The sequence below is a fragment of the Homo sapiens genome, chromosome 19 (genome assembly GCF_000001405.40).
Source record: "Homo sapiens chromosome 19, GRCh38.p14 Primary Assembly".
Classification (NCBI taxonomy): Eukaryota; Metazoa; Chordata; class Mammalia; order Primates; family Hominidae; genus Homo; species Homo sapiens.
Window position 1 is genome coordinate 14,476,983 of NC_000019.10, and position 24,267 is coordinate 14,501,249.

A 24,267-nucleotide genomic window follows, 5' to 3' on the forward strand; every position below is an offset into this window, starting at 1 on the left:
AGGACTGCGGCTCCCCGACTCCACCCGGGTCTGTCCACCAACACCCAGCCCCCAGGGTCTTCCCCTTTTCCCCCTTCCCCTCTTCCTGGTGGCCCAGTGCCCGCCCGCCTTTTGGAACGAGGATTGCAAGCTGGCCTCGGACTTCCCCACAGCCTCTCGGCTCACCCCCAAGCATTCCTGTGGGGCCTTCTGGCCCAGCGCCCCTTGCTTCAATCCCTTCCCTTCCCTCCAGGTCTGGCCAGGGTCCCACCCCGCCTTTCCCTGATCACCCTCAATCCTCGAAGATGAGTGGGTTGTCAAAACAAGTATGCTGGGTTTATGTCTAGGACAAAGCAGGGTGCCCCATGGACGCCTGCGTGTCCAGCATTGGGCCGGGTGGGGTGGGGGCTGCCTCACGCCTGCCCCCAACCTCCCGGTGTAGGGGTGGGGCTCTGGCAGGCCTGAGGTTCCATCTTTCTATTTCCAAGCCAGGTTTCAATGCCCTGGTGCTCCCCACGGTCCGGGGGTTGTCACCAGCTGCAGACAGCAGCCTTGTGAAGCTCCAGGGGGTAGGAGGCCTTGTGGGAGAGGGGGCAGGATTTGAACCCTCAGTAGTCCAGGAAGCTCTGGCCCTGCCTGGAAGCCTGGTGGCCTGCAGCCAGAAGGAACAGTGGGAGGGGGCAGGTGGCTTGGTGCCAGCTCCTAATTCAATTTGGAGCCTGCGGAAGATGGATTTCAGCTGCTGAATTCTTTCTCAGCCCCAATCTTCCCCCTCTCCCACCCCGAAGCCACACAGGTCCAACAGCAGATAGATTCTTTATGTTCAAGACAGCAAATTCAGATACAAAAACCCACCGCCATCGTCCCTCCCTCCCTCCTGCTCTGGGCCAGGGATGGGCCTGGAAGGAGAGATGGGAGGTGGGGAGGAGGTTGCGGGGTTCACAGCAGACTCGTGTCAAATGCGGAGGTAACAGGCTCCACAGGGAGGGGGCTCCTCTCAGGAGGGGTGAGGGCATTATTGCATTTGCTGGGGGGAAGGACAACCCTCTCCCCTGTATTCCCTGCGTCAGGAAACTAGGAAGGTCATGACCCCCAAACAGAACCCAAGGCCCCAGGGAGACAGAGGGACCAGTTTGGCAGCTGATGGTGGAAAGTGGTGGAGGCGGGGGTGGCCGCCCAATTTGGCTGATCCCTCCCCTCCCTGTGCCTGACCCAGCTGAGGTAGGTGGGGAACAGGGCACAGGGGGGCCGGGGACCCCGGCCAGACTGGGAACCAGGGAGGGGATGGTACCGATTGGAGCGGGGCAGGGGGCCTGGCCCCACCTCCCCTCACCATCGTCCTTGGGCTGCTGAGCTAGGCTCAGGCTGGAGGCTCGGGTCCTGACGTCAGTGTCCCTGCTGGGGGCCCCCACCAGGTTGCGCCCGGGTCATCATCGCAGGGTCCGGGGGCAGTCCTAGTAGCGGCCGACCTTGGCGTCCCCAATGGCGCCCCAGACGTCAAAGACGAACTCGTCAGGGAAGGCAAAGTCACCCAGCCGTTCGTCCAGGGCCTCGGCCAGCTCATCCGGGTTCCTTTTGTCCTTTCCCAGCTCCACCATGGTGGCCGCTATTGGGGGAGGGGTCAGAACGGAGGCACAAATGACACCAGGGACCAAGGGGCTCAGGGTGGATTCGGCCCCCAGCAGACCTAGATGCCCCCTCCCCCAGGCAGCCCTCACTCACCCAGCTCCGTGTCCCTGATACCCATGTAACTCTCCAGCAGGTCATCCACCTTCTCAATGGCCTTCTCTTCAAAGGCAGAGGGCTGGGGGCCAGGGAGGGGTGACAGCGACATCATAACAATGTGAATATACATAGTAATTGGACGGACTGCCATTGTCACCACTTTACATATATTCGTATTTAGACCTCAGGACAACCCTGAGAAGGTGGTATCGGTGTTCAGCTCATCCCCATTTTACTGATGGGCAAACTGCGGCCCATGTGCCCAAGGAAGGTCCCTGGGAGCTGGGAAGTGGCAGAAGTGGACTAGAATCCAGGCTGTCTGCCCAGAGTCCCCTCAGCTAACAGGTAATGCTGCCGGTTATGAAAAGGAAGGGAGGGCTGGGCGCGGTGGCTCATGCCTATAATCCCAGCACTTTGGGAGGCCAAGGAGGCTGGATCACCTGATGTCAGGAGTTCGAGACCAACTCCTGGCCTGGCCAACATGGTGAAACCCCATCTCTACTAAAAATACAAAAATCAGCTGGGCATGGTGGTGGGCACCTGTAATCCCAGCTACTTGGGAGGCTGAGGCAGGAGTATCGCTTGAACCTGGGAGGCAGAGGTTGCAGTGAGCCGAGATTGCACCACTGCACTCCAGCCTGGGTGACAAGAGTGAGACTCTGTCTCAAAAAAAAAAAAAAGAAAGGGAAGGGATGCCGGAGATAGGGTCCGGCTGGAGCACTCACCAGATCCTCCACCGTGGCGGGGCCCCGGGATCGGAGCCGCAGGGTCCCTCGGCCAGTGCCCAGTTGTGGGCCAGAGCCAGGGCGGCCACCCGCTGAACGCTGGCTGATCATGTCTGTGGGAGGCAGGAGAGGAGTGAGTGTGGGGGAAGCTTGGTTTTAGCACGTTCTGGGCAGGAACTTGTCCTTCCTGGCTTTCACCACCACCCCAAACTTCTCCAGGCTTCTGCAAGTTTCTGGGGGCTGGGGCCGGGGTGATCCCAGGAGGGCAGGAATCCTGACTCAGGCCTGGCATGGATGTGGGGCAGAGCAGGGGGAACAGCTGGGGGCCAGGAATAGGAAATGCTGGAGGGGAGACTGGAGGGGCCACTTCTGCTCCCAGGGGCTGGGGGACAGGAAGCAGGTGTACCCCAGCCTGAGTCTCCAGCTGCCTGAGTCCGTCTCCTCTTGGCCAAGGGGGTATGGCTGCTGGGCCACAGACCAGCCCTACCTGCCCAGGGAAGTGATTTAGTCCCCCACCCCCACCTCAGGGGCCTGGGGCCCATTCCTGAGAGTTAGTGAAGCCAGATGGAAAAGTGGGGGGGCTGGCACTGAGCAGTCAAGCCTGGCCTGTTGGGGATAGGGGGCTGGCCAGGGCTGAGGGCGCTTGGCTGGGCTAATGGCCCCTGGAAGCTAGGTGTGAGGGCAACTTCCTCCTCGCCCCCGCCCTTCTCCCAGGCTGGGCCAAGGGCCAGCACCCCGTCTGGGGTCGGGAGGAGCTGCAACCCCTTCCCTTTCTGCAACCCCTTCCCTTTCGGCAGGCCAGGCTTGGGCGCCACCTGCTGGCCGCTCCCGGCACCACCGCCTGCGCCCATGCGAGCAGCGCCACTGGGGAGGTCCAGGGGGCGGCTCCTCACCGAAGGCCTTGCGAGGCTCCGTGAGCTTCAGCGTGAAGGTACGGCCTCGGGGCAGCTCCTTGAGCAGCCGGGCCACCTCGTAGTGCCGGCAGCCCAGCAGGCTCTGCCCGTTAATGGCCTCGATCATGTCGCCCACGCTGATGAGGTGGATGTGGTCGATCACGCTGCCCTCCTTGATGCGCTGCGGGGGCGGGGAGTCATCAGCCCTTGGGGCTCTGCCCTGGTTTCCGGGGTCCCATGGCCCACCCTCACTCCCAGGCCTCCGGGGTGCCCCGTCTCCCCAGGCACCTTGATGAAGGCGTAGCCAGCCCCGTTGTCCGTGATGGTGAGCCCGAGTGCATCCTCCGACTTGAACACCTCCACCTCCTTGCGCTGCCCCTTCACGTGGGCGAAGATGAAGTCCTCCAGCCCGATCTGGCCCCCCAGGAGCTTGTCCATGTCCACTTTGTGGGTGTTCAGGGTGCAGAACATCACCTGCAGGGGTGGGAGACGCTGAAACCTCTTCCCCCTCCCTCCCCCTTTTCTAATCACCACTGGAGGGCGAAGGGAGAGAGCTGGGAGAGGACTAGGGGGATTCCATCCCAGTAACTCATCACCCACTGAGCCTGAGCCAGGGCCACAGCAGGGCCCACATTAGCGTGTCAGCTCTGCTAGGACTAGGATTTAGTTTTCCTTTCTCTTTTTGAGACAGGGTCTTGCTCTGTCACCCAGGCTGGAGTGCAGTGGTGCCATCATAGTCACTGCAGCCACAACCTCCCAGATTCCGGCAATCCTCCCACCTCAGCCTCCCAAGTAGCTGGAACTACAGGTGCTCGCCACCATGCCTGGCTAATTTTTGTATTTTTTGTGGAGATATGGGGTCTCACTATGTTGCACAGGCTGGTCTCCAACTCCTGGGCTCAAGTGATCCTCCTGTCTCAGTCTCCCGAGTAGCTGGGACCACAGACACGTGCCACCACACCCACATAGTTAAAATAATTTTTTTTAGAGATGGGAGCCTCATTATGTTGCCCAGGCTGGCCTGGAACTCCTGAGCTCCAGTGATCCCCCCATCTCAACCTCCCAAGTAGCTGGGACTATAGGTGTGCACCACTGTACCCAGCTAGGATTTCGGTCCTAGCAAAAATTCATTGCTGTGCCAGGTGCGGTGGCTCACGCCTGTAATCCCAGCACTTTGGGAGGCCGAGGTGGGCAGAACACGAGGTCAGGAGATCGAGACCAACCTGGCCAACATGGTGAAATCCTGTCTCTACTAAAAATACAAAAATTAGCTGGGTCTGGTGGCGGGCGCCTGTAATCCCAGCTACTCGGGAGGCTGAGGCAGGAAAATGGTTTGAACCCAGGAGGTGGAGGTTGCAGAGAGCCAAGATCGTGCCACTGCACTCCAGCCTGGTGACAGAGCAAGACTCCATCTCAAAAAAAAAAAAAAAAAAAAAAAAAAAATTCATTGCTGCTTTCAGGGAACGGAGCCTGGCACACAGTGAGTGCTCAGGAAATGCTTGTGGAGGACACAGAAACTCATCCCACTTAGGGAGACCCCTGCGTCTACTTCTTGCTCAAACCCACTATTGCCCTCCTTGACCCCCTCCCATCTATCCCCACAGTGCTTGGCACCAGGCAAGCCTGCCTCCCACAGCGTTGAGTTTCTCCAAGGCATCACGGAGAAGTGCATCTCGTATCTGGCCTCTAGCCTCCACCATCTCATGGGGCACTGGCCTCCCAATGCCTGACAGGAACTCAGCATCCAGCCCTGGCCATCAGCTCCCACAGTCTGTAGAGGTGCAGGCCTCTCAGTGTCTGATGGGAACTCAGCATTTAACTGTGGCCATCAGCTCCCCACAATCTACTGGGGTGCAGGCCTCCCAACGCCTGATGGGAACTCAGCGTCCAGCCCTGGTCGTCAGTTTTGCACAATCGACTGGGATGCAGGCCTCTCAATCCATCCATCCAATCAATCCATCCAGCCCTGGCCTCCCACAGTCCATTGGAGCTCAGGTCTCTCAGTGCCTGTTGGGAACTCAGCATCCACCCCTAGTCTTGCACAATCTACTGGGGGTACACCCCTCCTAATGCCTGATGGGATGTCAGCATGCAGCCCTGGCCATCAGCTCCCACAATCCACTGGGGCACAGGTCTCCCAGTGCCTGATGGGAACTCAGCATCCAGCCCTGGCCTCCAGTTCCCCACAATTCACAGGGGCACAAGCCTCCCAGTGCCTCATGGGGACTCAGCATCCAGCCCAGGCCATTGGCCCCCACCACTGAGTGGGGCCCAGGCTCAGCATCTGCAGCTTCAGCATCTGAGCCCCAGCTCATGAACAGGATGCAGGCCCAGACCTCTGGTCCACCATCAGGGACCCTGGTGCCCGGCTCCCCAGTGGATACCTCGGCAGTTGGCAGGCGGAAGGCCTCGGCGATCTTGCCATACAGCTCCTTGACGTTGGTGAAGCCCTCGATGCGGCCAGTGGGACTGCCATGGGCCAGCTGGGTGTGGAACACGAGGCGGGGCCGCAGGGCTGGGGGAGGGGGGGGCAAGCCCATTTGGGGGCCCCCCGACCCACCTCCGCCCAGAGGCCCTGGCTCCCCCACGCCCAGCCCTCCACGGCCTGGCTCAGCCTCCTCATTTTCCACTAGAGGGGGCGCCTTTTTCCGCCGCCCCAGTCCCAGCGGCATGAGCAGCGAGAAGTGGGGTCACCAGAAGATCTGCAGGACAGGAAGTGGGGCTCAGGGCCTGGGCAGAGGCCTTGGGTGCCCCTCCCACACTACTCGAACCATACAGGCCCAAGGAAATACTCAGAGAACAAATTGGCCTCGGTTGAAATCCTCATCTCTTGTATAGTGACAGGACACTTATATAAAAGTAATAATAGGGCTGGGTGCGGTGGCTCACGCCTGTAATCCCACCACTACGGAAGGCTGAGGTGGGCGGATCACTTGAGGTCAAAACTTTGAAACCAGCTTGGCCAACATGGTGAAACCCCACCTCTACTAAAAATATAAAAATTAGCCGGGTGTGGTGGTGTGCACCTGTAATCCCAGCTACTTGGGAGGCTGAGGCACAAGAATAGCTTGAACTGGAGAGGTGGAGGTTGCGGTGACCCAAGATCGCACCACTGCACTCTAGCCTGGGTGACAGACTAAGGCTCCGTCTATAAATAAAATAAAATAAAATAAAAAGCTCACACCTGTAATCCCAGCACTGTGGGAGGCTGAGACGGGAGGATCACTTGAGGTCAGGAGTTCGAGATGCCTGACCAACATGTCGAAATCCCATCCCTACCAAAAACACAAAAAAATTAGCCAGGCATGGTGGCGCATGTCTGTAATCTCAGTGATTCAAGAGGGTGAGGCATAAGAATTGCTTGAACCCAGGAGGCAGAGGTTGCAGTGAGCCAAGATCACACCACTGCACTCCACCCTGGGCAAAAGAGCAAGACTCTGTCTCAATAATAATAATAATAATAATAATAATAATAATAATAATAATAATAATAATACCAGCTAGGATTATTGCTTTGTGACCTTCCTTGTGTGTTTCATTTGTTGTTGTGACAGGGTCTTGCTCTGTCACTTAGACTGGAGTGCAGTGGTATAATTAAAGCTCACTGCAGCCTTGATCTCCCAGGCTCAAGGGATCCTCACACCTCAGTCTCTCAAATAGCTGGGCCCATAGGCACATGCCATGAAGCTCAGCTAACCTTTATTTTATTTTTTTGAGATGGAGTCTCACTCTGTCCCCTAGGCTGGATTGCAACGGTGTGATCTTGACTCACTGCAACCTCTGCCTCTCAGGTTCAAGTGATTCTTGAAGAAGAGACCCTGACTCTTTTTTTTTTTTTTTTTTTGAGACTGAGTCTCACTCCGTTGCCCAGGCTGGAGTGCAGTGGTGCAATCTCAGCTCACTCACTGCAATCTCTTGCCTCCCGGGTACAAGCGATTCTCTTGTCTCAGCCTCCCAAGAAGCTGGGATTACATGTCTGTGCCACCACACCGGGGTAATTTCTACATTTTTGGTAGAGATGGGGTTTCACCAAGTTGGCCAGGCTGGTCTTGAACTCCTGACCTCAAGTGATCCGCCCACCTCAGCCTCCCAAAGCGCTGGGATTAAAAGCGTGAACCACTGTGCCTAATGCTCAGCTGACGTTTTAAAACTTTTTGCAGGCCGGGTGCGGTGGCTCATGCCTGTAATCCCAGCACTTTGGGAGGCTGAGGCGGGTGGATCACGAGGTCAGGAATTCAAGACCAGCCTGGCCAACATAGTGAAACCCTGTCTCTACCAAAAAAACACAAAAATTAGCCGGGTGTGGTGGCATGTGCCTGTAGTCTTAGCTACTCAGGAGGCTGAGGCAGGAGAATTGCCTGAAACCTGGGAGGCGGAGGTTGCAGTGAGCTGAGACCGTGCCATTGCCTGGGTGACAGAATGACACTCCATCTCAAAAACAGAAAACAAAAAACAAAAAACAAAAAACACTTTTTGCAGAGATGAGGGGTCTCAATATGTTGCCCAGAGTGATCTCAAACTCCTAGACTCAAGCAATCCTCCTGCCTCGGCCTCTCAAAAGTGCTGGGAGTACAGGAATGAGCCATAGTGCCCGCCTGTAATCCCAGCACTTTGGGAGGCTGAGGTGGGCAGATCACCTGAGGTCACGAGTTGGAGATCAGCCTGGCCAACATGGTGAGACCCCGTCTCTACTAAAAATACAAAAATTAGCTGGCCGTGGTGGCGGGCGTCTGTAATCCCAGCTACTCGAGAGGTTGAGACGAGAGAATCGCTTGAACCTGGGAGGCAGAGATTGCAGTGAGCTGAGATTGCACCACTGCACTCCAGCCTGGGCAACAGAGCAAGACTCAGTCTCAAAAAAAAATAATAAAAATAAATAAATAAAAGAGTCAGGGTCTCTTATTGCTCTGTCCCCAGGCTGGAGTGCAGTGGGGTGATCACGATAATGGCTCACTGCAGCTTTAACCTCCTGGGCTCAAGCCATCCTCCATTCTCAGCCTCCCAAGTGGCTAGAACTACAGGCATGTACCATCACACCCGACTATTTTTTTTTTAAATTTTATTGTAGGCCTGGTGCGATGGCTCACATCTGTAATCCCAGCACTTTGGGAGGCTGTGAGCAGAACACTTGAGGTCAGGAGTTCGAGACCAGCCTGGCCAACATGGTGAAACCACATCTCTACTAAAAGTACAAAACTTAGCTGGGCATGGTGGCAGACGCCTGTAGTACCAGCTACTGGGTAGGCTGAGGCAGGAGAATTGCTTGAACCCAGGAGACGAAGGTTGGCAGTGAGCAGAGATCGTGCCAATGCACTCACTCCAGCCTGGGTGACAGAGATAGACTCCGTCTCAAAAAATAAATAAATAAATAAATAAACAAATATATATATATATATATAGAGAGAGAGAGAGAGAGAGAGAGAGAGAGAGAGAGAGACAGAGAGAGGGAGAGAGAGAGAAAGGAGTTCTTTTTTTTCTTTTTTTGAGACAGAGTCTCACTATGTCACCCAGGCTGGAGTACAGTGGCGCGATCTCGGCTCACTGCAAGCTCCACCTCCAGGGTTCACGCCATTCTCCTGTCTCAGGCTCCGGAGTAGCTGGGACTACAAGTGCCCGCCACCATGCCCAGCTAATTTTTTGTATTTTTAGTAGAGACGAGGTTTCACCACGTTAGCAAGGATGGTCTCGATCTCCTGACTTCATGATCCGCCTGCCTCGGCCTCCCAAAGTGCTGGGATTACAGGCGTGAGCCACTGCGCCTGGCAAGGAGGTGATCTTTCTCTGTTGCCCAGGCTGGTCTGGAACTCCTGGCTTCAAGGAGCTTTTGGCCTCCCAAAGCTCTGGCATGACAGGTATGGGCCACCGTGCCCGGCCTGTGACCTTCCTTAACCCTCACACCACACTGTAACACAGGGATCACGTTATGCTACAATTATGCCCATTGAACAGATGAGAAAATGGAGGCTGAAAGCGACTACGCTTCTATTTTCCTCTCAGCCACAGTCACTAACACTGTGTGCAAAAAATTTCTGACTCTCCCCCTTTGGACCAAACAGGTGGATGGCACTTCCTGGCCTCCTTGTGACTGGGCAGATAAATGATTATTTCTGGCAAATAGGTTGTGAGAGGAAGTGGCACATGACATTTCTGGGCTGAGGCATTTAAGTGCTGGAGCCTCCAGAGATCTATCTTTCCCAGGCAGGGTGATGAGCCACATTTGATATGGTGGCGACTCTATGAGGCCGGGCCCTGAATGACTACGGTGAATGGTGCCCCCTGCTGAGCCGCAATGGAAGTGTAGCAGGAAGAAAAAGCAAATCTTTGCTGAATTCAGCCACTAAGACTTTTGGGGTTGTTTTCTACACCACATACATTTTTTTTCTGTTTCTTTCTTGCTTTCTTTCTTTCTTTTTTTTTTTTTTTTTGAGACAGAGTCTTGCTCTGTCACCCAAGCAGCAGTGCAGTGGTGCGATCTCAGCTCACTGCAACCTCCGCCTCCTGGGTTCAAGCGATTCACCTGCCTCAACCTCCCAAGTAGCTGTGACTACAGAAGACTCCTGACCTCAAGTGATCCACCCGCCTCAGCCTCTTGAAGTGCTGGGATTACAGGCATGAGCCACCGCGCCCGGCCCGCTTCTTTATTTCTCTCTTTCTCCATTCTCCCCTCCCTTCAAACAATTTTTTTTTTCTTTTTAGTACTTACTGTATTCTGTGCACCATTTTAGATACTGTCTTCAATAAAAAAAGCAAGATCCCTGACTAGGGCCACCATGTTCAGTTACACAAGTTGTGTACTGTGCAAAATTACTAGACCAAGGTGGCAAGTAGGACTGAAATTCGGTCTGTGCACTGCCTGCCAAGCTATATTTCTTGGTGTGGTGTCTGCCAGGAGGAAGAGATGCCTTTCTTTTTTTCTTTTTTTTCTTTCTTTCTTTTTTTTTTTTTGAGACAGAGTCTGTTCTGTGTTGCCCAGGCTGGAGTGCAGTGGTGCAATCTTGGCTCACTGCAAGCTCCGCCTCCCAGGTTCCAGCAATTCTCCTGCCTCAGCCTCCCAGGTAGCTGGGACTACAGGTGCACGCCACCATGCCCGGCTAATTTTTTTTGTGTTTTTAGTAGAGACGGAGTTTCACTACGTTGGCCAGGCTGGTCTCGAACTCCTGACCTCGTGATTCGCTCGCCTCAGCCTCCCAAAGTGCTGGGATTACAGGCATGAGTCACTGCACCCGGCCGAAGAGATGTCTTTCTAATTCACTCACAGATGCTATATAGGCTAGCTGGGGCTCTGCACATGACCTCCAGAAGTGGACAGTCCGGAAGAGGAAATGCACAGGGAGCAGGGAAATGTGTAAATGTCTAATATAAATTTTTTCCTTTATTTTCCTTTTTTTTTTTGACAGAGTCTTGCTGTGTTGCCAAGGCTGAGGTGCAGTGGTGCAATCAGAGCTCACTGCACCCTTGCCCTCCTGGGCTCAAGTGATCCTCCCGCCCCAGCCTCTTGAGTAGCTGGGACCACAGGTGCTTGCCACCATGCCCTGCTAATTTTTTTATTTTTATTTTTTAGAGACAGGGTCTTGCTATGTTGTCCCGGCTGGTCTCAAACTCCTGGGCTCAAGTAATCCTCCTGCCATGGACTCCTAACGAGCTGGGATTATAGGCATGAGCCACTGTGCCCAGCCTCATATAATTTTTAATAGTGATATGGAGACAAAGCAAGACAAGTTCTATAGACAAGATCAGTGAGGGCGTCTCTGAGCACGTGAAGCTGAACTTGAGACCTGAACCACAGGAGGAAGCATTCATGCAATGATTTGGGGCAAGAACGTCCCAAGTAGAGAGAACAGCCAGTAGAAAGGCCCTGAGCTGGGGCTGGGCATGGTGGCTCAAGCCTGTAATCCCAGCACTTTGGGAGGTTGAGGTTGACGGATCACATGAGGTCAGCAGTTTGAGACCAGCCTGGCCTACATGGCAAAACCCCATCTCTACTAAAAATACAATACACAGGTGGGCGTGGTGGTGCACACCTGTGATCCCAGCTACTCGGGAAGCTGAGGTGGGAGAATCACTTGAATGCAGGAGGCGGAGGTTGCAGTGAGCCGAGATCACACCACTGCACTCCAGCCTGGGTGACAAACCGAGACTCCATCTCAAAAAAACAAAGAAAAGCCCTAGCCAGGCGCGGTGGCTCATGCCTGTAATCCCAGCACTTTGGAAGGCCAAGGCAGGCGGATCATGAGGTCAGGAGTTTGAGGCCAGCCTGACCAACATGGTGAAACCCCGTCTCTACTAAAAATACAAAAATTAGCCAGGTATGGTGGTGCATGCAAACCTCATCTCTACTAAAAACACAAAAATTAGCTGGGCGTAGTGGTGCATGCTTGTAATCCCAGCTACTCCTGAGGCTGAGGTTGCAGTGAGCTGAGATCACGCCATTGCACTCCAGCCTGGGCGACAGAGCGAGACTCGGTCTAAACAAAAAAAAAAAAAAGAAAGAAAAGCCAAGCCCTGAACTGGGCATGCAATTGGCATGTTTGAGGAACAGTGAGGAGGCCTGGGGGGTTGGAACAGTGAGTGAAGGGGGGATAGTGAGAACATGAGGGCAGGGAGGTAACAGGTTGCTATGTTTTCCTGATTTTTTTTTTTTAATGGGGTCTCACTCTGTCGTCCAGGCTGCAGTGGAGTGATGTGATCACAGCTCACTACAGCCTCAAATTCCTGGGCTCAAGCAATCCTCCTGTCTCAACCTCCTGAATAGCTGAGACTACAGGTGTTCACAGCCATGCCCAGCTAATTTTTATTTTTTGTAGAGACGGGTCTCACTACGTTGCCCAGATTGGTCCTGAACTCCTGGGCTCAAGCAATCCTCCCGCCTTGGCCTTCCAAAGTGCTGGGATTATAGGCATGAGCTACCACACCCAGCCTGCTATGGTTTGGATAAGGTTTGCCCCATTGAAACTCATGCTCGAACAATCGATTGGCTAACGAGGTCGATGACGCCAGGCACAAGATGCTGGGCCTACCGCGGTAGCGTGAGGGAAGCCGTGCGTTCTGTTCCAAGGCATCTGTGAGCCCATGGAGTATACACCATGAGCAAAGCTCACCCTCCTGAGTTGAAAAAATTTACGGACAAGAAGTTTTCATTGAAATTAAATGGTGGCAGACATGTCCAAGGAATATTGCGGGGATTTGATCCCTTTATGAACCTTGTGATAGATGAATGTGTGGAGATGGCGACTAGTGGACAACAGAAAAATATTGGAATGGTGGAAATACGAGGAAATAGTATCATCATGTTAGAAGCCTTGGAATGAGTATAAATAATGGCTGTTCAGCAGAGAAACCCATGTCCTCTCTCCATAGGGCCTGTTTTACTATGATGTAAAAATTAGGTCATGTACATTTTCATATTAGACTTTTTGTTAAATAAACTTTTGTAATAGTCAAAAATGTTTTTTCAGATGTTCTGAATATACAATATTAGCTCTCATTCCAATTTTTTCTAACATGAATTTTCCTGGTTGACATTGATTTCAAAGGGTTTTATGTATTAAAGTGACAGAATCTTATTAAATGTGAAACATGGCAAGGAGAAAAAAAAAAAAAAAGAAACTCATGCTAAAATTTGATCCCCAAAGTGGTGGTGCGGTGTTGGGAGGTGGGGCCTAGTGGGAGGTGTCTGTGTTATGGGGCCAGATCTCTCCTGAATGGCTTGAAGTAGCTCTGGAAGCAATGAGTGCTTGCTCTCAAGAGCCCGGATTAGTTCTCCAGAACTTACAGTAGTTGGCCAGGTGCAGTGGCTCACACCTGTAATCCCTGCACTTTGGGAGGCCGAGGCGGGCGGATCACGAGGTCAGCAGTTCAAGACCAGCCTGGCCAACATGGTGAAACCCCGTCTCTACTAAAATTACAAAAAATTAGGCCAGGCACGGTGGTGGGCACCTGTAATCCCAGCTACTGGGGAGGCTGAGGCAGGAGAATTGCTTGAACCTGGGAGGTGGAGGTTGCGGTGAATCAAGACCGTGCCATTGCACTCCAGCCTGGGCAACAGAGAGAGACTCAGTCTCAAAAAGAAAAAAAAGAAAATACATTAGTTAGGCCAGGAACGGTGGTTCACGCCTGTAATCCCAGCACTTTGGGAGGCAGAGGCAGGCGGATCACCTGAGGTCGAGAGTTCGAGACTGGCCTGACCAACATGGAGAAACCCCATCTCTACTAAAAATACAAAATTAGCTGGGTGTAGTGGCACATGCCTGTAATCCCAGCTACTAGGGAGGCTGAGGCAGGAGAATCGCTTGAACCTGGGAGGCAGAGGTTGAGGTGAGCTGAGACAGTGCCATTGCACTCCAGCCTGGGCAATAAGAGCGAAATTCTGTCTCAAAAAGAAAAAAAAGGCCAGGTGTGGTGGCTCACGCCTGTAATCCCAGCACTTTGGGAGTCCAAGGCGGGTGGATCACGAGGTCAGGAGATCGAGACCATCCTGGCTAACACAGTGAAACCCCGTCTCTACTAAAAATACAAAAAAAATTAGCTGGGCGTGGTGGCACACACCTGTAGTCCCAGCTACTCGGGAGGCTGAGGCAGGAGAATGGCGTGAACTCGGGAGGCGGAGCTTGCAGTGAGCCGAGATCATGCCACTGCACTCTAGCCTGGGTGACAGAGCGAGACTCCATCTCAAAAAAAAAAAAAAAGAAAGAAAGAAAGAAAGAAAATACATTAGTTAGGCCGGGTGCAGGGACGGTGGCTCCCGCCTGTAATCCCAACACTTTGGGAGGCCGAGGCGGGTGGATCACCTGAGGTCAGGAGTTTGAGACCAGCCTGGCCAACATGGTGTGAGCCAAAGAAGGCTGGTGTGAGCCACTGCGCTCAGCCTATATTTTCTTATGTAAAAGGGACTTCCTGGTGCCTCCTATCCAATGGTCTCTTCCAGGGGGCCATGCTGGATTCAGCTTGGCCGCATCCAATCTTTTTTTTTTTTGAGATGAACTCTCACTCTGTCACCCAGGCTGGAGTGCAATGGCGCGATCTCGGCTCACTGCAACCTCCACCTCCCAGGTTCAAGCGATTCTCCTGCCTCAGCCTCCTGAGTAGCTGGGATTACAGGTGCGTGCCACCACACCTGGCTAATTTTTGTATTTTTAGTAGAGATGGGGTTTCTCCATGTTGACCAGGCTGGTCTGGAACTCCTGACCTCAGGTGATTCGCCCACCTTGGCCTCCCAGAGTGCTGGGATTAGAGGTGTGAGCCACTGCACCCAGCCTGCACCTAGTCTCATGTATCCATTTGTTCATGCATCCATTCGTCTGTCCCCTAACACACCCTCTCATCTCACCTGGTCCATCTCCATGATCACTTACCTAAACTAGTGTGGTTGCCTCCTGTGGGTTTCCCAGCTTCCACCCTCACCCCCTACGACTTCTTGTCCAGACAGCAGCCAGAATGGTCCTGTAAAACATAAGTCATGTCGCATTTGTCTCTGCTCTGACCCCTCCCCGGGCTCTGACCTCGCTGGAAAGAAAAATCAGTGTCGGCCGGGTGTGGTGGCTCTCGCCTGTAATCCTAACACTCCGGGAGGCCGAGGTGGGCATGAGCCACCACGCCCAGCCATATATTTTCAAAATTAGCCAGGCGTGGTGGCGGGCGCCTGCAGTCCCAGCTACTCGGAAGGCTGAGGCAGGAGAATGGCATGAACCCGGGAGGTGGAGTTTGCAGTGAGCCAAGATCGTGCCACTGCACTCCAGCCTGGGTGACAGAGTGAGGCTCCATCTCAAAAAAAAGAAAAAAGAAAAGACCCCTCATCATCCCTCCAATTCCGCCAGCTCTACGCACTGGGAGGCAGGAAACTAAAAACATGAATCTGGAACCTGGCTTCATCTCTTAATAGCTGTGTGACTTTGGGCAAGGGTCTTAACCTCTCTGAGCTCCAAGGAAATCATGCATGTGCTTGGAACAGTCCTGGCACACAATAAGGGTTGCATAAATATTGGTGACAATTACTGCTACTGCCATCTTTTGTTTTTTTTTTTGAGACGGAGTCTCGCTCTGTTGCCCAGGCTGGAGTGCAGTGGCACGATCTCAGCTCACTGCAAGCTCTGCTTCCCGGGTTCACGCCATTCTCCTGCCTCAGCCTCCCGAGTAGCTGGGACTACAGGTGCCCGCCACCATGCCCAGCTAATTGTTTGTATTTTTAGTAGAGACGCTGTTTCATCATGTTAGCCAGGATGGTCTCGATCCCCTGACCTCGTGATCCACCTGCCTCGGCCTCCCAAAGTGCTGGGATTATAGGCGTGAGCCACTGCACCCGGCCTTGCTACTGCCATCTGTACCAAGATTCAAGCTTCCTCCTTTTCCCAAGATCCCTACATCCTGACCACCAATTCCCAGCCTCCTTACTCTCTCTCTCTGCCCACCCCACTGCCCTGGTTCATGCCAGCTTCCGTGTCCCCACCCGTGAGGAGGCATTAACAGCAGTGAGGAAAGTGAGTGAGTAATGAATCTGCCTGCCACGGCCATAAGAGGCTTCGTGGCCTGGGTTCAAATCCCACCCCTGCCACTTACCAGCTGTGTGGCTGGGGGGCAAGTCACTTCACATCACAGGGCCTCAGTTTCTTCATCTGAAAAATGGGTGGAATTCCTGTCACTCTCAAGGTGGTTGTGGAAATCCAAAGAGATTACCCACGTATCCCATCTACACTCTGCCTCAGACTCCATTTAAGGACGCTGTTGTCATTACTATGGGTGTCTCCTCCTCTGCCCTGCCCTGCCCAGGAATATCCCAACCCTCTCTGCCTGCCAATACCTACTCCAGGCCCACTCCTCCATGAAGCCTCCCAGGCTTGCCCCAGCATGCTGGAACTGCCCCTGTGGTACAGATGGCTCAGGCCCATGAACTTAATTGCATGCTGCCCTGGCAGAACTCTTGTCTTCCAGCTTCAGGCTGTCATTTAACTTCATGTCTCTATTTTAAAACGTAAACCAGATGGCATCACTGCCCTGCCTGAAACTTTACAACAGTTTCCCACCTTCTGGAAGAAAAACTGCAATCTCCTTACTGTGACCCACAAACCCCTGCAGAATCGCTGCTCTGGGTTCATCTTCTGCTCCAACCATGTGATTCCAAACTTGGTCCAGCCTAAAGACCTTGGCCTTGCCCATCTCTCTCTCTTTTTTTTTTTTCGAGATGGAGTCTTGCTCTGTCACCCAGGTTGGAGTGCAGTGGCGCCATCTCAGCTCACTGCAACCTCCACCTCCTGGGTTCAAACGATTCTTCTGCCCTAGCCTCCTGAGTAGCTGGGATTACAGGCACGCACCACCACATCCGGCTAATTTTTGTATTTTTATTTTGTATTTGTTTATTTTTATTTATTTATTTATTTTTGAGACGGAGTTTCATTCTTGTTGCCCAGGTTGGAGTGCAATGGCGCGATCTTGGCTCACCGCAACCTCTGCCTACCGGGTTCAAGCGATTCTCTCCTGCCTCAGCCTCCCATGTAGCTGTGATTACAGGCATGTGCCACCACGCCCAGCTTATTTTATATTTTTAGTAGAGACAGGGTTTCTCCATGTTGGTCAGGCTGGTCTTGAACTCCTGACCTCAGGTGATCTGCCTGCCTCGGCCTCCCAAAGTGCTGGGATTACAGGCATAAGCCACCACGCCTGGCCTATTTTTATTTTTTTTTGAGATGGAGTCTCGCTCTGTAGCCCAGGCTGGAGTGCAGTGGCACGATCTCAGCTCACTGCAACCTCCGCCTCCCGGGTTCAAGCGATTCTCCTGCCTCAGCCTCCTGAGTAGCTGGGCTTACAGGCGTGCGCCACCACACCCAGCTAATTTTCATATTTTTAGGAGAGAGGGGGTTTCACCATGTTGATCAGGCTGGTCTCAAACTCCTGACCTCTTGACCCACCTGTCTCAGCCTCCCAAAGTGCTGGGATTACAGGGGTGAGCCATGCCCCTAGCCAATTTTTGTATTTTTAGTAGAGACAGGGTTTCCCCATGTTGGCCAGGCTGGTCTCAAACTCCTGACCTCAAGCAACCCACCCGCCTCGGCCTCCCAAAGTGCTGGGATTACAGGCGTGAGCCACCGCGCCCGGGCCCCCTTGCCTGATCTTTGCTGGGCTGGCACCCCTTGCCCACAACTACTCTCTACAGTACCACCCGCTCATATTTTATTCATAGCAGTTAGTGCCATCTGAAATTATCTTCTTTATTTACTTGCTAACTTGTTTGTTGGCTGCTTCCTTCCTTTCAGAGTGCCAACTCCTCAAAAGTAGGGATTTTGTTTTGTTCACTGTTGCATTTTCTGTGCCAAGAACAGTGCCTAGCACATGCACGTAGCAGGTGCTCACTAAATATTTGTAGACTGAGTGAATGAATGTGTCTCAGGTCCTCGTTCTGATTGCTCTCTGTGCTCCCCATCCTTGAAACAGCCCCCTAAACATGCCTGCTGTGCGGTTGCCAACTGTCCTAGGCTCCCCACTTTCCCTGGCTCCCCTCACACCTGAACACAGAGATGAAGAGCCACTTCAGCCCGGATATTGAGTGTTTGGGCTGGAATTTCAGCATCCTCACCCCCTCATCCTGGGAAGGGCCTGAAACTTAGCAACCCCACGGCCACACAGAAGCAGTGTGGCCAGCAGGAGGAGGGGAAGGGGGTTCCTGGGAGCACACAGAAGCTAGGGGAAGGGGGAAACCACGCCCAGGCTCCCCGTTCCAGCACAGTGTTGCTTTGGAGAGAAGGAGGGAAAGAGGCCTCTGATTCACTCTTGAAAAACCGGCTCCTGGGTGTTTCCGGGGAGAACGCCTACTTCCCAGCCTCGGCCCAGGTTGCCAGGGGGGAACCCAGTGGGCCCAGACCCCAGCATCCTGGCCCCCTGCAGACGCCACTCTCTTCTCTGGACCCAGGTAGTTAGACCTGCCCTCTCCAGCTCTGGGGAGAAGGGAAAGGAGGGCAGCTTCCTGTTTGAGTGGCTGGTAAAGCAAAAGACCAGCAGGTGTGGCCCTGATGATGAGTACGGGGTAGGGGGTGGGAGGGGTAGGGGGCCGGAGCTACTCAGCAACAACTGAGCCGTGGAGTTATTGGTATCCAGTCTAGTGGGTGTGACTCCAGTTCTGGACCCTGGGGCATGAGTTCCAGTCCCAGATGTGCCAGTTACTAGCTGTGTGACCTTGGGCAAGTCACTCCACCTCTCTGGGTAGGCTGCCTCACCTTTTTTACAAGAAGGCACAGCACCTCCCATGAGGTGTTTAGAGTCAATTATCCTCATGGTAAATGCCTGACACGGAAGCTCTCCAATAAATGCTAGCTGAGGTGGAGTTTTTCATGACGATTATTATTCAGACCGTGGTCCTCACTGCGTCCCCCCCAAGGCCCTGGAGGGTTCAGACGCGGTTAGCTCAGGGGAAGTGCCCAGGAAAGGGTCAGAAACACTGACCCCGCGCCTGTCCACGCTGGGATGGGGACAGTCCAGCCGGGGGACGGGGGGAGGGGCAAGCCCAGAAACCCCAGCCCAGCGTTGGGAGGCGTTTGTCCCCTGCCCGCCAGCAGGAAGGGAGCTGCCCCCACCACCCCCCACCCCCGCTTCCCCTGGGAAGGGGCCTCCGGCATCCCCGCGCGCAGCCTAGACCTCCAGTCGCGTCCACGGCGCCGGCCCCACCCTGCAGGATCGGCCGGATCCTCGCAGGCCCGCGACCCCCGAGGCCCCCGGAGCAGACACATCCTTCTCGCAGAGGCCACTCACCTGCTCCGCCGCCGCCGCCGCCGCCGCCGCCGCCGCCGCTGCCTCCGCCTCCCCGTGCGCACCCGGCTCGGCCCTCCGCAAACTCCAGACCGGGCCTCTCCCGCAGCGGCGCCTGGGGGGCGGGGCCGACGCCCGCGGCCGGCCAATCAGCGGCTGCCTCTCGGTGCTCGCAGCCAATCCGCGTCTTCCGCTTCGGGTGGACCCGACGGAAACATTCCAGAGGGATCCCTCCGCCTCGCCCGGCTCTTCCCGACTCCTCCCCTCGCCGCGAAGCAGTGGACCGTTCCGCCCCGCCTAAGCCGCGGCTGGCTGTACCACCGGAGGGCTGAGGAGGGGGGGGAGCTGCAGCTGGGCCCCGGCCAATCGCGAGGGAGGAAGGAGACAAGCGGCCAATGGGAAGGAAGCTGGGGCCCCTGAACCACGTGCTGTCGGCTGAGTGTCAGTCTCGGGTGCCCTGGGTGGTGAGGGGCGGGGGAGTCAGGTGACCTAGGCCAGGTTTCGGGGAAAGGATTCGAACTTCCGACGTCCAGGAAAGCGGACAGTTTAGGAGACCTGGGTGGGGGTCAATGGCAGTCCCCAACCCAGTTCCCTGCCCGGCCTCCTCTGCCCCAGCCTGGCCATCCTCGGAGCGGATAAAAAGATGCATTCAATCTCTGGGGGCGGGCGGGGGATCGAGATGAATAGGGAGGGTCCCGAGTTTCCCTGCTTCCTGGGCTGTACAATGGACAAAGGCATTCATTCATTCATTCGTTCACTCACTCATCAAATATTTAATGTGCCAGACTGCTCCGTGCCAGACTCTGTCCTACCTCTGAAGACGCGTCAGTGAATAAGCTGAATGTGCTCCTGGTAGAGGTAACAGAGCGTGCAAAAGCCGGACAGAGAGATACAGCACGCTTTAGGATACTGCAATATCGTGGGAGCTAGTAAATCAGTGTGGAAAGGCAAGATGCAATGAAAGACAAGGGTGAGATAGTTTATCTGCTTGTTGGTTTGTTTATGTGCTAGGTCACAGAAGGTACCCAGCCAGCCTTTCATAGATCTGTCTCCTCCATCTGACTGTGAGGGTGGAGGCTGAGTCTCTCTTGTCAACCCCTCACTCCCACCTCAGGCTGCCACACGGCAGGTTCTCAGCAAACCTGTGTGGACAAATAGACCATGTAGTTTATAAGGAAGGGGGATTTATCAGGTGGACACAGATCCAAGAAACAAGAGTCACAAATGCACCTGGACCAGGCCAGGACGCTCAGTTCCCGGGACAAGTGAGATTTCCTTGTTCTAGTTCAAACCCAGCCACTTGGACAGCAACTGGGGCTGAATGCTGTGTGTTCTGGGAACTGTAGTTCCTGGAAGCCTCTAAGTGCTGAGACCCTGCTCAAGCTCCATAGAAAGACTGGTTCTTTGCAGTTCCCAGGGTGAGATGTTGTGCATATCAGTCCCACCAGGACCTGCAGAGGGGCAAACTAAAATGGGAGATGGAACCTTGAGCTTTGCTGCTGAGGATTGCCTAGCCAGCCCCACCCAGCTGGCAAACACCGAGATTGCTGTGGCAGGCCAGGCAACAGGCACAGCTATTGTCCGTCCCTTCCTGTTCTGCTGACCTCTGCCATCCCACTGAGCAATCAGTTGCCTGGGCTGGCCAGTACCCTCTGTGGGACTGTGCTGCCTGCCCTGCTTGAGCCTGGCATCTAAGCTGCCCCCTGCACACTTGGAGAGGACGGGATGCTGAGCCCAGGGGACAGCATGACTGAGGCTGCAGAGTCCTGAGCCAGACTCCAACTGGCTCCTGTTTCCTGATGAGGAAGTGCCCGGAGAAGGGGTGATGGGATTGTGGGATTGCTCAAGACACAGAGCAGCACTGGGCACCTCCTTTCTGAATTTTTTTTTTTTTTTTTTTGAGACAGTGTCTAGCTCCGTTGGCCAGGCTGGAATGCAGTGGCAGGATCTCAGCTCACTGCAACCTCCACCTCCTAGGCTCAAGTAATCCTCCCATCTTAGCCTACCGAGTAGCTGGGACCACAGGCATGTACCACCACACCTGGCTAATTTTTGTTGTTGTTGTTGTTTGTTTGTTTGTTTTTTTGAGACGGAGCCTCACTCTGTCACCCAGGCTGCAGTGCAGTGGTGCAATCTCAGCTTACTGCAACCTCCGCTTCTCAGGTTCGAGCAATTCTCACGCCTCAGTCTCCTGAGTAGCTGGGATTACAGCGTGCGCCATCATGCTCGGCTAAATTTTTTGTATTTTTAAAAGAGACGGGGTTTCGCCATGTTGGCCAGGCTGGTCTCGAACTCCTGGCCTCAAGTGATCCACCTGCCTCGTCCTCCTGAAATGCTGGGATTACAGGCATGAGCCACTGCACGCAGTCTATTCCTTTGTTTGTCTGTTTGTTTGTTTTGAGACAGAGTTCCACTCTTGTTGCCCAGGCTGGAGTGCAATGGCGCAATCTCGGCTCACTGCAACCTCCACCTCCCAGGTTCAAGCGATTCTCCTGCCTCAACCTCCTGATTAGCTGGGATTACAGGCACCCGCCACCACATCTGGCTAGTTTTGTATTTTTAGTAGAGACAGGGTTTCATCCTGTTGGCCAGGCCGGTCTCGAACTCCTGGCCTCAAGTGATCCAACTGCCTCATCCTCTCAAAATGCTGGGATTACAGGCATGAGTCACTGTGCCAGGCCCATTTGTTTGTTTTTTGATAGAGACAGGGTCTCACCATGTTGCACAGAGCTGGTCTTGAACTCCTGGGCTCAAGCCATCCTCCCTCTTTGGCCTCCCAAAAGTGCTGGGATTACAGGTGTGAGCCACCATGCCCAGCCCTCCTTCCCGATTTTATAGCTCAAGAGGAATGCCTAAAAGCTGAGGCTGGGAAGTCCAATGGTGAGCAGCTTAGATGTGAGCGCTACCTCTGTTCCTTTAAAAGAAAAAAGAGGCCGGGTGCAATGGCTCACGCCTGTAATCCCAACACATTGGGAGGGTGAGGCGGGCGGATCACAAGGTCAGGAGTTCGAGACCAGCCTGGCCAACATGGTGAAACCTCGTCTCTACTAAAAATACAAAAATTAGCTGGGTGTGATGGTGGGCGCCTGTAGTCCCAGCTACTCAGGAGGCTGAGGCAGGAGAATGGTGTGAACCCGGGAGGCGGAGCTGGCAGTGAGCCGAGATTGCGCCACTGCCCTCCAGCCTGGGCAACAGAACGAGACTCCGTCTCAAAAAAAAAAAAAAAAAAAGAAAAAGAAAAAACAGAAAAAAGAAAAAAATTCCATCCTTGAATGCCAGCTAACACATGCAGAAGGGAAGGTTGTGTGCGTTAGAACATCATTGTTTTGCTGAGTGCAGTGGCTGCAGCCTCTAATCCCAGTGACTTGGAGGCTGAGGCTGAAAGGATCCCTTGAGGGCAGGAGTTCGAGACTAGCCGAGGCAACATAGCAAGACCTCCATCTCTACAAAAATGGGTGTGGTGCTGTGTGCCTGTAGTCCCAGCTACTCGGGAGGCTGAGGCAGGAGGATCACTTGAGCCCAGGAGTCGAGGCTACAGTGAGCTATGAGCTACAGCTTCCTATGTGCCAGGCATCATTCCAAGAACTTCCTATTTATTAAACCATGTAACTCTCCTGATGACCTAGGTGCAGTTTTACACATTGTATATTTGTCCTCCCACTCTGTCAGGGGAAAATTTGCTTCACCCATGATATCCTTCATTGGAGGGAAATTCTTAATTTTGATATAATAGAACTCACTGTGAAGTTATATTAAGAATGCTTGGCTGGGCACACTAGCTCATGCCTGTAATCCCAGCACTTTGGGAGGCTGAGGCAGGTGGATTGCTTGACACCAGGAGTTCAAGACCAGCCTGGGTAACATAATGAGACCCTGTCTCTACAAAAAATAATAAAAATTAGCCAGAAAAGGAGGCACTGGACTATAGTCCCAGCTACTCAGGAGGCTGAGGTGGGAGGATCACTTGAGCCCAGGAGTTCAAGCCTACAGTAAGCTATGATCACACCACTGCATTCTAGCCTGGGTGACTGAGCAAGACCCTATCTCCCAAAACAAAACAAAAGAAGGCCTTTTCATCCCTATATGGCAAACTTATACTTCCACATTTTCTTTATTTTTTTTTTGAAACAGAGTCTCACTCTGTCACCCATGCTGGAGTGCAGTGATGTGATCTCAACTCACTGCAACCTCCACCTCGCAGGCTCAAGCGATTCTCACGCCTCAGCCTCCCGAGTAGCTGGGATTAGAGGCATGTGTCACCATGCCTAGCTAATTTTTTGTATTTTTTAGTGAAGACCGGGTTTCACCATGTTGTCCAGACTGGTTTTGAACTCCTGGCCTCAAGTAATCCGCACGCTTTGGCCTCCCAGAGTGCTGGGATTGCAGGCATGAGTGAGCCACCGCACCTGACTCTTCCACAGTTTCCTTTTTTTTTTTTTTTTTTGAGACGGAGTCTCGCTCTGTCTCCCAGGCTGGAGTGCAGTGGCACGATCTTGGCTCACTGCAAGCTCTGCCTCCCAGGTTCATGCCATTCTCCTGCCTCAGCCTCCCGAGTAGCTGGGACTAGAGGCGCCCGCCACCATGTATGGCTAATTTTTTGTATTTTTAGTAGAGACGGGGCTTCACCGTGTTAGCCAGGATGGTCTTGATCTCCTGACCTCGTGATCTGCCCACTTTGGCCTCCCAAAGTGCTGGGATTACAGGCGTGAGTCACTGCGCCTGGCCCCATTTTCATTTCTTCATTCTACGTTTTTTGGTTTTGTTATTTTATTTATTTATTTATTTATTTATTTTGAGACAGAATCTTGCTCTGTCGCCCAGGCTGGAGTGCAGTGGCGTGATCACGGCTCACGGCAACCTCTGCCTCCTGAGCTCAAGCAATTCTCCTGCCCCAGCCTCCCGAGTAGCTGGGATTACAGGCTATGCCACCACGCCTGGCTAATATTTTTGTATTTTTAGTACAGACAGGGTTTCACCATATTGGCCAGGCTGGTTTCGAACTCCTGACCTCATGATCTGCCCACCTTGGCCTCCCAAAGTGCTGGGATTATAGGCATGAGCCACTGTGCCCGGCCCATTCTATGGTGTTACTTTTCCTGAGTCTTTATTCCATCCGTAGTCCACCTGAGGTTGTGGGGTAGAATGGTCTTCTTTTTCTCCATAACCTGTGCTGTTCAGCAGCTCTGTGACCTTGTGTGAAGCCCATCCTCTTCTGT

At 53.7% G+C, this 24,267-nt stretch overlaps 1 protein-coding gene and 1 pseudogene across 7 annotated transcripts, besides 6 other annotated features; one reads left to right on the plus strand and one right to left on the minus strand.

Annotated features, from left to right (window-relative positions):
• On the minus strand, nt 780-19,145 carry GIPC1 (GIPC PDZ domain containing family member 1). Of its 7 annotated transcripts, NM_005716.4 has the most exons (9): nt 19,055-19,145; nt 15,875-15,930; nt 14,674-14,761; nt 5,707-6,024; nt 3,611-3,796; nt 3,323-3,503; nt 2,430-2,542; nt 1,702-1,783; nt 780-1,585 (listed from the first exon to the last, which is right to left on the minus strand). In NM_005716.4, the coding sequence occupies exons 4-9, from the start codon at nt 5,992-5,994 to the stop codon at nt 1,434-1,436; spliced, it is 1,002 nt and encodes a 333-aa protein (NP_005707.1). In that variant the 5' UTR covers nt 5,995-6,024; nt 14,674-14,761; nt 15,875-15,930; nt 19,055-19,145; the 3' UTR covers nt 780-1,433. The 7 variants fall into 7 exon arrangements, with proteins under 7 accessions (NP_005707.1, NP_974197.1, XP_016881637.1 ...); NM_202468.3 differs by lacking the exon at nt 15,875-15,930; XM_017026148.3 differs by lacking the exon at nt 5,707-6,024.
• Nucleotides 1,365-1,880: an enhancer, noted in NCBI's record as "H3K27ac-H3K4me1 hESC enhancer chr19:14589159-14589674 (GRCh37/hg19 assembly coordinates)". NCBI's record gives its function as "activates a minimal SCP1, AML or CMV promoter by ChIP-STARR-seq in primed H9 embryonic stem cells {active_cell/tissue: H9 hESC(primed)}" and the evidence as "EXISTENCE:reporter gene assay evidence [ECO:0000049][PMID:30033119]".
• Nucleotides 2,966-3,560: an enhancer, noted in NCBI's record as "H3K27ac-H3K4me1 hESC enhancer chr19:14590760-14591354 (GRCh37/hg19 assembly coordinates)". NCBI's record gives its function as "activates a minimal SCP1, AML or CMV promoter by ChIP-STARR-seq in primed H9 embryonic stem cells {active_cell/tissue: H9 hESC(primed)}" and the evidence as "EXISTENCE:reporter gene assay evidence [ECO:0000049][PMID:30033119]".
• Nucleotides 12,315-12,908, plus strand: SNRPGP15 (small nuclear ribonucleoprotein polypeptide G pseudogene 15; annotated as a pseudogene).
• Nucleotides 18,460-19,386: an enhancer, noted in NCBI's record as "H3K27ac-H3K4me1 hESC enhancer chr19:14606254-14607180 (GRCh37/hg19 assembly coordinates)". NCBI's record gives its function as "activates a minimal SCP1, AML or CMV promoter by ChIP-STARR-seq in primed H9 embryonic stem cells {active_cell/tissue: H9 hESC(primed)}" and the evidence as "EXISTENCE:reporter gene assay evidence [ECO:0000049][PMID:30033119]".
• Nucleotides 19,049-19,278: a silencer, noted in NCBI's record as "silent region_10254". NCBI's record gives its function as "represses an Ori minimal core promoter by ATAC-STARR-seq in GM12878 lymphoblastoid cells {active_cell/tissue: GM12878}" and the evidence as "EXISTENCE:reporter gene assay evidence [ECO:0000049][PMID:35858748]".
• Nucleotides 19,419-19,478: a silencer, noted in NCBI's record as "silent region_10255". NCBI's record gives its function as "represses an Ori minimal core promoter by ATAC-STARR-seq in GM12878 lymphoblastoid cells {active_cell/tissue: GM12878}" and the evidence as "EXISTENCE:reporter gene assay evidence [ECO:0000049][PMID:35858748]".
• Nucleotides 20,667-21,166: an enhancer, noted in NCBI's record as "H3K4me1 hESC enhancer chr19:14608461-14608960 (GRCh37/hg19 assembly coordinates)". NCBI's record gives its function as "activates a minimal SCP1, AML or CMV promoter by ChIP-STARR-seq in naive H9 embryonic stem cells {active_cell/tissue: H9 hESC(naive)}" and the evidence as "EXISTENCE:reporter gene assay evidence [ECO:0000049][PMID:30033119]".